The following is a 12908-nucleotide window of genomic DNA, read 5'->3' on the forward strand; positions in this document are numbered from 1 at the left end:
AAGGGTCCCCTGTCCCTGTCAAGGGCAGATGCTGGGGTTCGCCAGGGTTGTGTGACCGGCCAAGGTGAGGGCATTGGAGAGGGAGGGAGGGAGGGAGGGAGGGAGGGAGGAAGCTTGGCCACCCTGCCCAAGTGTGGACCTCAGGCTGGGCCAAGCCCTGAGCTTCCAGGTGAAGTCACGAGAGCTCCTTGCTGGGCCCTTGGCTGGGGAGTCTGTCCCGAGCCCTCCATCCTCAGCCTCACCTGGGCTGGCAGTGGGGGAAGAGGCAGGTGACAACCCCCCCGAGAGGTGACAGCCCTGGGGCGGGAGCCGCCGCCACCTGAGAGTGGGTGAGGAGCAGGTTAGCTGGGTGAAAAGTTCACAGTGAGGGGAGCTGTCTGTTCCCTCGCTTAATTTATCCACTATTTGGCTAACCTTGCTCTGAACCCAGGCCCTGAGACCCCTCTCCCTTCTCCCCCGCCTCCCCACTGGGCTTCCGAGCCCCGCCACCAGACCTCCCGCCCAAGCCCTGAGGCAGGGACGTGCTGGCCTTGAAGAGGCCTGGGGCCCGGGCGCCGGGAGAGGATGGCTACATGGCTGTGGACAGTTATTTATGACCGCAGTCTTCCCATCTTCAGTAACCAAAATAAAGTCCGGTTGCCGGCGAGGTGCAGGCCCCCGAACGCCAGACATCCGCCAGCCAGCCTCGGAAGGCGCCCCGCCCGCCCGCCTTCGCCAAACACACAACTGCTCGGGAGACAGTGACCTTTCCTGTGGGGGCCATCTGTCATCCTGGCTTTGGGCGGGAGCCAGACACATGGACCAGCCGGCCTCGGAAGGGAGGCTGGCCTCCTTCCCTGGCCCTGGGGTGGCCTCCGGGCCTTCGGTCTGCCTCTGATGGCTCAGGGTCTGATCTCTGAAGACCCTTCCTCACCTCGGTCTCCCTTTCCCTTTGACAGATGCGGCAAGGCTGTGGAGAGAGGGAGTTCAGAGGGATTCGGGTTGGGGGTGGAGGGCAGAGGACAGTCGCCATAGTGACAGTGCCACTGACCACGCGGGATCCCAGGTTGTGCAAAAGGCCTGGCACATGTGACTTCCATCATCCATGAAGCAGCTCGGTCTTCCAGCCTGGGAGACGCGGCTGGGGGTGGCGGGGAGTCACTTCCTTACTTCTCCAAGCTGGTGGTGACCGAACAACCCAGGTCACTCTGACCCCAAAGCCAGCTGCGCTCTCAGCCCCTGGACTCTCTTTCCCATTCTCACTTTTCATTCTTTCATTGAAATCCCTTTTTGGCAACTATAAAAGCCATTTGTGTTGGCAGCAGCCAGTGGAAACACAAAGATAGACAAAGAGTGAATCATCCCAGCCGCAGCCCCGCCCCCCATATCTCAGGTGACCTTTTCTCCACGGTCTCCGCACTCACAAATGCACACAAGCGTGTGGACACCTGGGCGTGTGTGTCAGCAGGGAATCGCTTGTTTTGACAATAATAGGATCCCCACCACACATTCCTCCGCAGCTGTTTACTAACCGTGCCGCGCGGGGCAGCCCCGGCTCCAACATATCTGAGTCATTCTTGTTCATAGCTGCACGAGATTCCTAATCTGGGATGAATCGCGGTTAATATCACTTGCTTACTTTTTTTTTGTTTTTTTGAGACAGGGTCTTGCCTTGTCATCCAGGCTGGAGTGCAGTGGTGCGATCATAGCTCACTGCAGCCTTGACCTCCCGGGCTCAAACGATCTTCCCACCTCAGCCTCCTGAGTAGCAGGGACTACAGATGCTCATCCCTACGCCCTGCTAATTTTTAATTTTTTTTTTTTTTTTGTAGAGACGTCCCACTATGTTGCCCAGGCTGGTCTTAAACTCCTTTTTCTAGAACCAGCCGCAGCCCCTCAGCTGCCATTTTTCTCCCTGTGGCTGGGGAGGGGTGGAGCAGGGCTAATTCCACTCCTGCAAGGAAGGGCAGAGCCAGAGACAGATGGGGTTGACCCTGGGGGTTCCCCGTCCCTGACCCAGGGCCGCCTGTGATGGACTGCCGGACAGAACTGGTCAGCTGCCGACACCACACTGCCAGGTGCCCACCAGGACGCCCACCGACTGCCAGTCAGGAGGGGCCAGCAGTCAGGAGGGGTCTTAAGCAATCCTCCCACCTTGGCCTCCCAAAGTGTTGGGATTACAGGCGTGAGCCACGGCTCCTGGCCACCTGCTTGCTTTTGTAATGGGGTAGGCCCCACACACAGAGCAGAGTTCTGAAGTGTACAGCTCAGTCAGTGTCACGTGTGTGTGGCCACCCCTCAGATCATGACACCCAACATTTCCTGCCCCCAGAGGTTTTCCCCCCAACCATAGCAGCCCTAAAGGTGGCCACTCGGGTTACCTCGATCTCACAGATGAGTTGCACTTGTCTTTGAACCTCATCATACAGAAGACAGTCTTTTGTATCTGGCTTCCTTTGCTCAATGTTTTGTTTGTGTCACCCGTGTTACTGCATGTGGCCGGGAGGTGTTCATTTTCATTGCTGTGTAGTGTTCCATTGTATGAGTACCTACCATAAGTCATCCATACTCCTAACTGATGCAAATTTGCATCATTTTCTTGTTTCTTTTTCAACACAAATGATGCTGCCATGAGCATTGGTCCTCATTCCCCTTTGTGTGCTAGCACTTTTATACATAAAGGAGAGATTCCTGGCTGGATTTCCTGGCTCACACCTGCAATCCCAGCACTTTGAGAGGCCGAGGCAGGTGGATCACCTGAGCTCAGGAGTTTGAGATCAGCCTGACCAATATGGTGAAACCCCGTCTCTACTAAAAATACAAAAAATTAGCTGGGCGTGGTGGCGGGTGCCTGTAATCCCAACTATTCGGGAGGCTGAGTGAGGAGAATTGCTTGAGCCCGGGAGGCAGAGGTTGCAGTGAGCTGAGATCAAGCCATTGCACTCTAGCCTGGGTGACAGAGCGAGACTCTGTCTCAAAAAAAAAAAAAAAAAAAAAAAAAAAAAAAGGAGAGACTCCATCTTCCCATGTGTTAATGAGAATGAAATTTTTTCTTTAATACTTGTCCAGAAAGATAATGTTTCTTCCACTCTGGAAAATCACCCAGCAAAACTTATGGACCCTCATTGGCTGGACCAGGTCAGAAAGAGCCTTTTAGGCCTTGCTGAAGAGTCACATAAGATTTATCCTGTGGGCAATGGGGAGCCATTGAAGGTTCTACACAGAAGATGGCATGGTCAGATCTGTGCTCTGGAAAGGACTCCCTGGCTCTGTGGTGGGGGACTCAGAGTCCATGGAGTGGGACACTGCAGACATTTAAGAGACTGTCCAAAAGTGCAGGTGAGACAGAGGGGAGGGGAGAGCCAGGGAAGAGGAAGGGGAAGAACTGTCAGGACTTCCTGAGAGATCAGCCAAAGGCACAGCTCAGGGGAGGAAGAGCTGAGAAAAGGATGGTGGTGTCCAGGGATCTTGTTCCTGCCTCCCCTGGGGACCCAGGTCCCAGCAGGACAGCCTCATCTCAGGATCCCAGCCCTGGAAACACAGGTGGCAGGGGCCAGGTCCTGCTCCACTCTTCCACGCTGGGTCTGGGTGCTGGCTGCTCCCTGAATCCTGACTTCTTCATCAGGCAGGGGCCACAGCCCCACCTCCCAGGAGTGACGTAGGAGGAACCACACAATGCAAACTCAGCAACGCCCTGGAAGCGTCACAGCATGATGGAAGCACGTGGCATTATCACGGCGACGTTCGGCTCTTTGAGGACTGGGGCCTGGAGCTCCTCCGCTTGTCCAGAACTCCATGACACACACTGGCCCTCAGCCTTCTGCCCTGTCCCTGTAGCAGGAGGATGACCTGCTGCTCTCCCCATCCTACCCTGGCCCTGGGCCAGCACCCCACCCTCAGCCTCCCTGTAGCAGGGGGATGACCTACTGCTCCCCGCGTCCTACCCTAGCCCTGCGCCAGCACCCCACCCTCCCATTGCCCACCAGGCTGCCCTGTCAGCCCCTCCCAGCCCAGGCACAGGGACCCATTCTTTTTCCTAAGGGGCTTTCTTGGCCTGGGGGGCTGGCATAAGGCACAAAGCACTAATGAGGTGGGCAGCCGCCCCACGGCGCCTGCACAGAGGGGCCAGCCTTCTTCTTCAGCGACCAGGCCCCCACCCCGGACCTGTTCACTCCGCTCAGATCTGCCCACGCCTTACAGTGACCCGTCCCGCCCTGGGCTTTGGGCAGGAGCCAGACACACGGAAGGGAGGCCGGCCTCCTTCCCTGGCCTTGGGGTGGCCTCCGGGCCTTCGGTCTGCCTCTGATGGCTCAGTGTCTGATCTCCGAAGTGTTGGAAGTGTTGGCCACCTCGTCTCTTGTCTGGATGATGGACGGGCTCCCTGCTTCCACCTGCGTCCTCCACAGTCCGGCTGTCTGCAACTGGAATGCCCTTTCTCAAATGCAGGCCTCATCATGGCTCCTCCCTGCTCTGGCACCTTCTCCCTTGGGAAAAGATCCGCGATCCCTACAAGGCCCATTATGTGCTCTTCAATGTGGCCTATCCCGAGCCCGGAGCCCTGGCGCTCATGCCCTCACTGCAGCTGCTCACTGCCTTCCATTGCCTGGAACACCTTCCCCTCCCCAGTCTTGCCTGCGTGCTGGCTCACATATCACTTCCCACAAGGCCTCTCCACCCCATCTAATACGCACCATGGCCCCCTCCACAATCTGCTGAAAGCTCAGTGCGACGAGCCCCTGCCCAAGTTCACGGCCACATCCCCACTGCCTGACCTACAGTTGGCCTTTAAGAACTATTTGTTGGAAGCAGAGTGACACTGAATGAGCAGGGACAGACCAGGCACCCATTCCAACATTTCCCGAATTCCTCCACCCCAGGGCCACTGGCTCCAGCTCCCAGAGGGCACTGCTGGCCCCAAATGGCCTCTTGCTGTGGCAGGACAGGGGCTCCTGCTACCCCTTGAGGACAAAAGGCTTTTAGAACCAGCCCCAGCCCCCCAGAGGCCATTTTTCTCCCCTTGGCTGGGGAGCGGTGGAGCAGGGCTAATTCCACTCCTGCAAGGAAGGGCAGAGACAGACGGGGTTGATCCCAGGGGTTCCCTGTCCCTGCCCCAGGGCAGCCCATGATGGACTGCCAGACAGGACTGGTCAGCTGCCAACAGCACACTGCCAGCTGCCCACCAGGACGCCCACTGACTGCCAGTCAGGAGGGGCCAGCAGTCAGGAGGGGGCTGCCAACTACCTGTCACTGTGCTGGCCAACTGTCAATCAGGACAGGACAGAGACCCAGGAGCTCAGGGCTGCCTGTCAGGGCACAGGCCAGCTGTCACTCAGAAAGGCCCAGGAGCAAGTCAAGGAGTCTACCAATGGCCATTTCTGGTGACAGCTATTGCTTTTGGTGCCCAGCATCCTTTCACTCTTCCCCTGGCAAGGGCAGCCCACTGGGCTTCCAGGGAACCTACCCTCTCCAACTTGTAGTCTGTGTGTCTCCACGGGCTGATTCCCTCCTTGGCTGCAGGGACAGAAGACCACAAGACTCAGGGCTGGCCAATCAGAGCATTGCAGTCTTCTGGCCACTGTGATTGGCTTATACGTGGACATGTGACTCAACTCGAGCCAACCAGAACCAATCAGAACTAACTCTGGGTCAGTAGAGAGAGACTCTCTTCCTGCTGCCCTTGTACCTGGGAGGGTGGCTGTCAGGTGGAGCTGAGGCAGCCAGTTTGTCATCATGAGAGAAAGATGTCTGAGGATGAAGCCAGCCCAGAGGATGTGGAAATGAAAGACAGAGAAAGAGAAACTGGGTCCTGGCTGCGTCCTGCTTCCACTCTGGATCCAGCCATAACTGAAACCCATGATCATTGGGCTTTCCAGTTACAAGAATCAATAAATGCCTCCTTTTTGCCCGAGCAAGAATTGCTGTGAATGGGACCAGAAACCACTCGGGGAGTTTTCTAGTGTCTCACTGGGGGCCCATTGGCTGGTCAGGGCACCAGCCCCTGTCTGAGGCTTGGGATGTTTCCAGAGGAACTTCTGACTGAAAGCATGAGACAAACAGGCCCCGTACCTGCCTCCCCGCCCCTGGCTGCTGAGGCGTGGGCATCCTCATGACGCGATGGATCAGATGCTCCCCCAGCCTTTGACTCAGCAACGAGGGAAGCAGACAAGCAGAGAGGGTGCGGGTGGTGGCAGCAGGGAGCGCCCAGGGCCAGCAGGGTCTCCTAGGGTTCAGCGGCGACGGCTGCAGCCAGGGCACCTGCACCCACCAGACCAGCCTAGGGCAGGACTTGCAGGCTGGGGTCTGGCTGCATCTCTTGATGTCTGCCTAGGTTTTGAGCTTCCTACATCCATTTGAGACACTCTGCAGGAAACGTCAGTGTCCTTTGCCAGGGACTAGGGCACCCCAGGGAGAGAGTCCCTGGCTTGAGGCTGGTGAACCCCTGGCTGGCTTACCACTGCTCACACACTGGGCAGGCCCTCCGTGAATGCCACTTCCTCACTCTACTTATTTTTTTTTTGAGATACAGTTGCGTTCTGTTGTTCAGACTGGAGTGCAATGGCATGATCTCGGCCCACTGCAGCCTTGACCTGACGGGCTCGGGTGATCCTCCCACCTCAGCCTCCTGAGTAGCTGGGACCACAGGCACATGCCAGCACGCCTGGCTGATATCTTTAATTATTTTTGTAGAGACAAGGTCTCCCTGTGTTGCCTAGGTCTCAAACTCCTGGGCTCAAGTGATCCTCCCACCTTGGCCTCCCAAAATGCTGGGATTACAGGAATGAGCCCCTGCACCTGGCCTCATTCTTGTTAAGTGTCCCTCAAAGCACCTGGCAGAGTGCTGGGCACATTTTAGGGGCTCCAGGAATTGGCCAGAGGAGCAGTCTGCCCATGGGTGCTGCTTTGTGCCAAGCCTTGGGGCCTGGAGAGGGGGAGAAGGTGGGCAAGTGTGTATTCTGAGGAAGGGTTGGAGCATGGAAGACGTGGATGCTCTGCTTCCTTCTGGGCCCACAGTGAAGAGGGCAGGGCTGCCCCCAGTGAGTGCTGGAAGGAGATCCATGCCTCATCGCAGGACAGGGGACCCGGAAGCCGACCTGAGGCTGGCCTTGGCCCACCTGCAACAGGCAGCAGGCAGTTAGGCAAAGGTGTGCTGGAACCTGGCGGCGACACTGACATGGATTGGGCGGGAGGAGGCCAGGTCCTGGACTGCATAAAGATATTGATGAATAACGGCAAGCACCGTCTCTGCACTCTTTACACAGTAGGCTTCTTATTCAAGAAATCACAAAACTCAGGGATTAACAGCCAGGATTTCGCAACTAGTTTTTGGGGTTCAAATCTCAGCTCTACTGGTTACTAGCTGTGAATAAGCCCTGGGAAGATGACCTCACCTCTCTCTACCTCAGTTCCCTGTAAAATATTGGGAAATTTTCATTATTAAATGTATATAACTTAGGGTCTATCCCATATGAAGCACACAATGAGTTATTACTTTTATTATAATAGAATATAAAATACGATGTAATACAAATTTATTAATTTGTTACTTGGTATTAATACCAAGCACACATGCATTAATTTATGGCATGTATTACTCCCTTGATTTTTACAAGCAACTTTATGGAGGACAGGGTTATTAGTCCCATCCTATAGATGAAGAAACTGAGGCTCACAGAGGTTAAGTTAAGGTGAAGGTGAAGCTCCAGGTCCCACAGAGCCAGGATTCGGAATCTCAGCCAGTCATGGCTGGCTCCAAACTCCAGTCTCTTCCCTTCTCCGCAAGCTCCATGGCTCCCAGATAGGCTGGCCAAGTCGGTTTGCAGCCAGTGTGGACAGCAAAGGAGATTGGCCTGGCATGGCTGAGAAGGGTGGTCTAGGGCCAGAACCCCACCCACCCAACCCCTCCAAGAAGCCCATTGCCTGAGGAATCCACCGTGGCATCTGGGGGATGTTTAGCCTTCTCTCGTGCCCACAGCCAGGCCCCAGGCTGGGGCTCTGCCCACAGTCCCCTTGTGACCTTCCCAAGCAGGATCCAGTTACATCACAGCAGCAGCTCGAAGGAACAAACACAGCTTGTGTCTGCTTCCAACGGCTTATTTCTCTTGTCTTGTGAATACTGAGAAATGAAAGGAATGATAAGGATTTGTGGGCTGGAGGGGGGAAGGCAGCCTGGAAAATTCTGCAGTGCTGGCGGAACTCACCAAGAGGGTGGAGTGAAGTTTTCAAACCAGCTCCAAAGAGGGAGAGATTCAAGTGGTTACATGGAAGGCCCAAGAGGTTTCCTGGCTCCCCCTTGGCAGGTTAAGGGCCCAGCCCTGGGGCAGATGGTTCCCCTCCCGGTTCTGCTGCGGGCCTCTCTGTGGTCAGGACCCGGAAGCTCTCTGGGCCTCAGTTTCTTCAGCTACTCAGTGCCAATAATGCCAGCTCCCACTGCTCCGGGTTAAGAAGAAGAAATGAGAAAATGTGTGTAGACCAGGGGTTCCTGACAGGGGATGATTTAACTCCTTCAGGCAGGGGTCCCTAAGGTATTGGTCCATGGCCTGTTAGGAAATGGGCCGCACAGCAGGAGGTGAGCGGAAGGCAAATGAGCGAAGCTTCCTCTGTATTTACAGCCGCTCGCCATCGCTTGCATTGCCGCCTGAGCTCCGCCTCCTGTCAGATCAGCCGCAGCATTAGATTCTCACTGGAGCTTGAACCCTCTTGTGAACGGTGCATGAGAGGGATCTAGGTTGCATGCTCCTTATGAGAATCTAATGCCTGATGATCTGTGTCTCCCATCAGCCCCAGATGAGACCATCTAGTTACAGGAAAACAAGCTCAGGGTTCCCTCTGATTCTACATTATGGTGAGTTGTATAATTATTACATTGTGCAATTACAATGTAATAATAATAGAAGTAGAGTTCACATAAATGTAATGTGGTTGAATCATCCCAAAACCATCCCTGCCACCACGGCCCATGGAAAAATTCTTCCACAAAGCCAGTCCCTGGTGCAAATAAGGTTGGGGACCACTGCCTTAGGGGACATTTGGTAATGTCCTGAGACTCTTTGGGTTGTCACAACTGGGGGCAGACGAAGGTGCTTGTGGCAACCAGGGAGTGGAGATGGGGAAGCTGCCAGACCCCTACAGAGCATGGGACAGCCCCACCACAAAGAAGAATCCCGTCTGGGAAGCCAGCAGTGCTGCTGTTGAGGAAATGCTGATATTGACATCAAACACTGAATAATCTGTGTTGGTTTCCCTGTTCAAGGGCCCGTGTGGAAGTGAAAGGGAAGGTGAGTGGGAAAACGGGGTGTTTGGGGTAAACAGCAAAGCACCCATGTTGGCTGCCTCCAAAGAAAGATTTGGGCTGGGTGCAGTGGCTCACGCCTCTAATCCCAGCACTTTGGGAGGCCTAGGCAGGTGGATCACCTGAGGTTGAGAGTTCGAGACCAGCCTGACCAACAAGGTGAAACCCCGTCTCTGCTAAAAATACAAAACTAGCTGGGCATGGTGGCACATGACTGTAATCCCAGCTACTTGGGAGGCCGAGGCAGGAGAATCACTTGAACCCGGGAGGCAGAGGTTACAGTGACCCGAGATCACACCATTGCACTCCAGCCTGGGCAACAAGAGCAAAACTCCATCTCGAAAAACAACAACAACAAAAACAAACAAAAAAAAAACAAGAAGAAGAAGAAGAAGAATTTGTCCCTCTTGGTTCAGACAGCAAACATTCACTGAATGGCACTCTTGCTGGCACTCTTCCCGGTGCTGAGAAAAGTGGCCACCCCTGCTCTCCTGGGGTGTCTCATCCAGAGGGGGAGAGAGACTCAGACAGAGCAAGAAAGTAATAAGTAAAAATAGCCCCAAATATCCGTTGATAGTGACGAATAAATGGATGAACAACTTGTGGGAGAGCCGTAGAGCCGTACTGTGAAGATGATTCGGCAATAACAAGGAACGAAGTCCTGATTCACGCTCCACCGTGGATGAACCTCAAAAACGTGATGCTCGTGAAGGAAGCCGCTCATGAACGGCCACATGCTGTAGGATTCCGTGTATATGAAGTGTCCGGAGCAGGCACATCCACAGAGACAGAAGTAGATTGGGGGTTTCCAAGGGCTGAGTTGGGGGAAGATGGAGAGAGGCTGCTAATGAGCACACGGTTTCTTTTTGGGGTGATGAAACTGTCCTAAAATGATTATGGTGATGTTCACATAACTCTGTGAATATGCTGAGTGCCACTGAATTGCACACTTGAATAGGCAAATTGTGTGGTGTGAGTTATATCTCAATAAACCTGGGAAATATAAAAAATAGACAGGAGGCAGTGGCTCATGCCTGAAATCCTGGGGCGCTTTGTAATCCTGAGGCCAAAGAGGGAGGATTGCTTGGGTCCAGCAGTTCAAGACCAGCCTGGGCAATATTGTGAGACCCCCATCTCGAAAATAAAAATAAAAATATATAAAAAATAATAGTGGCAAGTGGTGAGATGATTGATGAATAAAATAAGCAAAAGGCTGAGGTGGAGCAACTCGGAGCCACCGTAGCTGGCTGGGACACCTCCGGGAGGTGACGTCTGAGGCGGGGCTTGCGAGCTGGGATGGGAGAAGATGGAGACAGAGCTCCAGGTGGAGGAGACTGCATGGTGTGGGTGTGTGCAGGGAGCCCCAAGTGCTCTCAGTGAGAGCTCAGCATCTTGTCAGAAGGGGGAGAGAGAGAGAGACTGAGCTGTGGAATGTGAGCCGCCGAGATACTAGAATGGTGTCTGGGTGATCATGTAGACGGAACCCATTGACATCTGTGATGTGGCCACTATGCCAGAAACCCTCAGAAATATTTCCTCACTGTTGCTCAACACCTGGACGGATAGCCCAGCTTCCCTGCATAGGGCAGATTTATTTATTTATTGAGACGGAGTCTTGCTCTGTCGCTCAGGCTGGAGTGCAGTGGCGCGATCTTGACTCACTGCAAGCTCTGCCTCCCTGGTTCAAGCAATTCTCCTGCCTCAGCCTCCTGAGTAGCTGGGACTACAGGCGTGCACCACCACGCTCGGCTAATTTTTTTGTGTTTTTAGTAGAGGCAGGGTTTCTCCATGTTGGCCAGGCTGGTCTCGAACTCCTGACCTCAGGTGATCCGCCCGCCTCGGCCTCCCAACGTACTGGGATTACAGGTGTGAGCCACCAACCCGGCCAGGGCAGATTTATTTGCAAAGTGCTTTTTCATTATTCCTCTCATGAGAATCCTCCAAATCCCCAGGGGAAAGATGGGCAGGGGATGGGGTACTAAGGGGCTCCTAGTAGTTCAAACCAGAGAAGTCGGTGACCTCCTGGAGTCACACAGCCAGGCACTGTCTGGCCAGCCTCCTGGATCAGCCCAGGCCTCCCTGAACTGGCCTTCCTAGCCAGCAAGTCTGTGATGAAGCCTCTTTTTTTTTCTGAGATGGAGTCTCGCTCTGTCGCCCAGGCTGGAGTGCAGTGGCATGATCTCGGCTCACTGCAAGCTCTGCCTCCTGGGTTCACACCATTCTCCTGCCTCAGCCTCCCGAGTAGCTGGGACTACAGGCGCCTGCCACCACGCCTGGCTAATTTTTTGTATTTTCAGTAGAGACAGGGTTTCACCGTGTTAGCCAGGATGGTCTAGATCTCCTGACCTTGTGATCCGCCCACCTCGGCCTCCCAAAGTGATGGGATTACAGGTGTGAGCCACCGCACCCGGCTATGAAGCCTCTTTGAGAGCCCTCCCTCTGAGGCCTGCTGCCTCCCAAGGGGACCCACGTGCTAGAGCAGCTCCCAGCAGGGCAGGGCAGTGAAGATCCTGCCACTCCCAGCAGTGCCTTCTGCAGAGCTTCTTTTATTCTCTTCCCGAGCCATAGAGATTTGGGTGCCAAGGGTCTGCCCACAGCCAGCAATGGTGGGAGGTGCAGAGAATGTCCTGTAAATATCCTGCCCACCTGCTATGTGCTGGAGGACCACAGCCCATTCCCATGTAGACTTCCTGTCCTGCAGGGCCCCTTTGCTCTGCCCTCCCCAGGGGCCTCCCCTGCTCCTCACTCACCACCATGTTGGGGTTTTCCTTTTTTTTTTTTTTTCCTTTGAGACAGAGTCTCGCTGTGATGCCCAGGCTGGAGTGCAGTGGCGCAATCTCAGCTCACTTCAACCTTTGCCTCCTGGGTTCAAGCGATTCTTGTGTCTCAGCCTCCTGAGTAGCTGGGATTACAGGCACACACCACCGCACCTGCACCCAGCTAATTTTTGTATTTTTAGTAGAGACGGGGTTTCACCATGTTGGCCAGGCTGGTGTTTTTTTTGTTTTTTTTTGTTTTTGAGTCAGAGTGTCGCTCTGTGGCCCAGGCTGGAGTGCAGTGGCACGATCTCGGCTCACTGCAACCTCCACCTCCTGGGTTCAAGTGATTCTCCTGTCTTAGTCTCCCGAGCAGCTGGGACTACAGGCAGGTGCCACCACGCCCAGCTAATTTTTTGTATTTTTAGTACAGATGGGGTTTCACCCTTTTAGCCAGGATAGTCTTGATCTCCTGACCTTGTGATCTGCCCACCTCAGCCTCCCAAAGTGCTGGGATTACAGGCGTGAGCCACTGCGCCTGGCCAGCCAGGCTGGTCTTGAACTCCTGGCGTCAAGTGATCCACCTGCCTCAGCCTCCCAAATTGCTGGGATTACAGGCATGAGCCACTGTGCCCAGCCCATGTTGGTGTGTTCCGAGCCACAGCTTCATCCCACCCCAATCACATGGGAACCAGCCAGGCTTTGCAGGATACTGCTGTCACAGGCCAAACCAAGGCGGTGAGCCCATGTGTTCTGGGGGACAGCTGGGTCCTGGCTGGGAGCCGTGGGAGCCACCAGCATCACACCACGCCCTCAGAAGTTCACAGGGCCTTCTTAGATCCCATGAGCACTGGATGCTTACCACAGCCCCAGGAGGCAGGTAG

General features: G+C 54.7%; 3 annotated features.

The window, feature by feature from the left end:
- Positions 1220-1514: an enhancer, noted in NCBI's record as "tiled region #1458; HepG2 Activating non-DNase unmatched - State 4:PromP, and K562 Activating non-DNase unmatched - State 5:Enh". NCBI's record gives its function as "activates a minimal TATA promoter and a strong SV40 promoter by Sharpr-MPRA in HepG2 and K562 cells {active_cell/tissue: HepG2 | K562}" and the evidence as "EXISTENCE:reporter gene assay evidence [ECO:0000049][PMID:27701403]".
- Positions 3457-4411: an enhancer, noted in NCBI's record as "H3K27ac-H3K4me1 hESC enhancer chr1:12612066-12613020 (GRCh37/hg19 assembly coordinates)". NCBI's record gives its function as "activates a minimal SCP1, AML or CMV promoter by ChIP-STARR-seq in naive H9 embryonic stem cells {active_cell/tissue: H9 hESC(naive)}" and the evidence as "EXISTENCE:reporter gene assay evidence [ECO:0000049][PMID:30033119]".
- Positions 4412-5364: an enhancer, noted in NCBI's record as "H3K27ac-H3K4me1 hESC enhancer chr1:12613021-12613973 (GRCh37/hg19 assembly coordinates)". NCBI's record gives its function as "activates a minimal SCP1, AML or CMV promoter by ChIP-STARR-seq in primed H9 embryonic stem cells {active_cell/tissue: H9 hESC(primed)}" and the evidence as "EXISTENCE:reporter gene assay evidence [ECO:0000049][PMID:30033119]".

Source organism: Homo sapiens, chromosome 1, assembly GCF_000001405.40.
Source record: "Homo sapiens chromosome 1, GRCh38.p14 Primary Assembly".
Taxonomy (NCBI): Eukaryota; Metazoa; Chordata; class Mammalia; order Primates; family Hominidae; genus Homo; species Homo sapiens.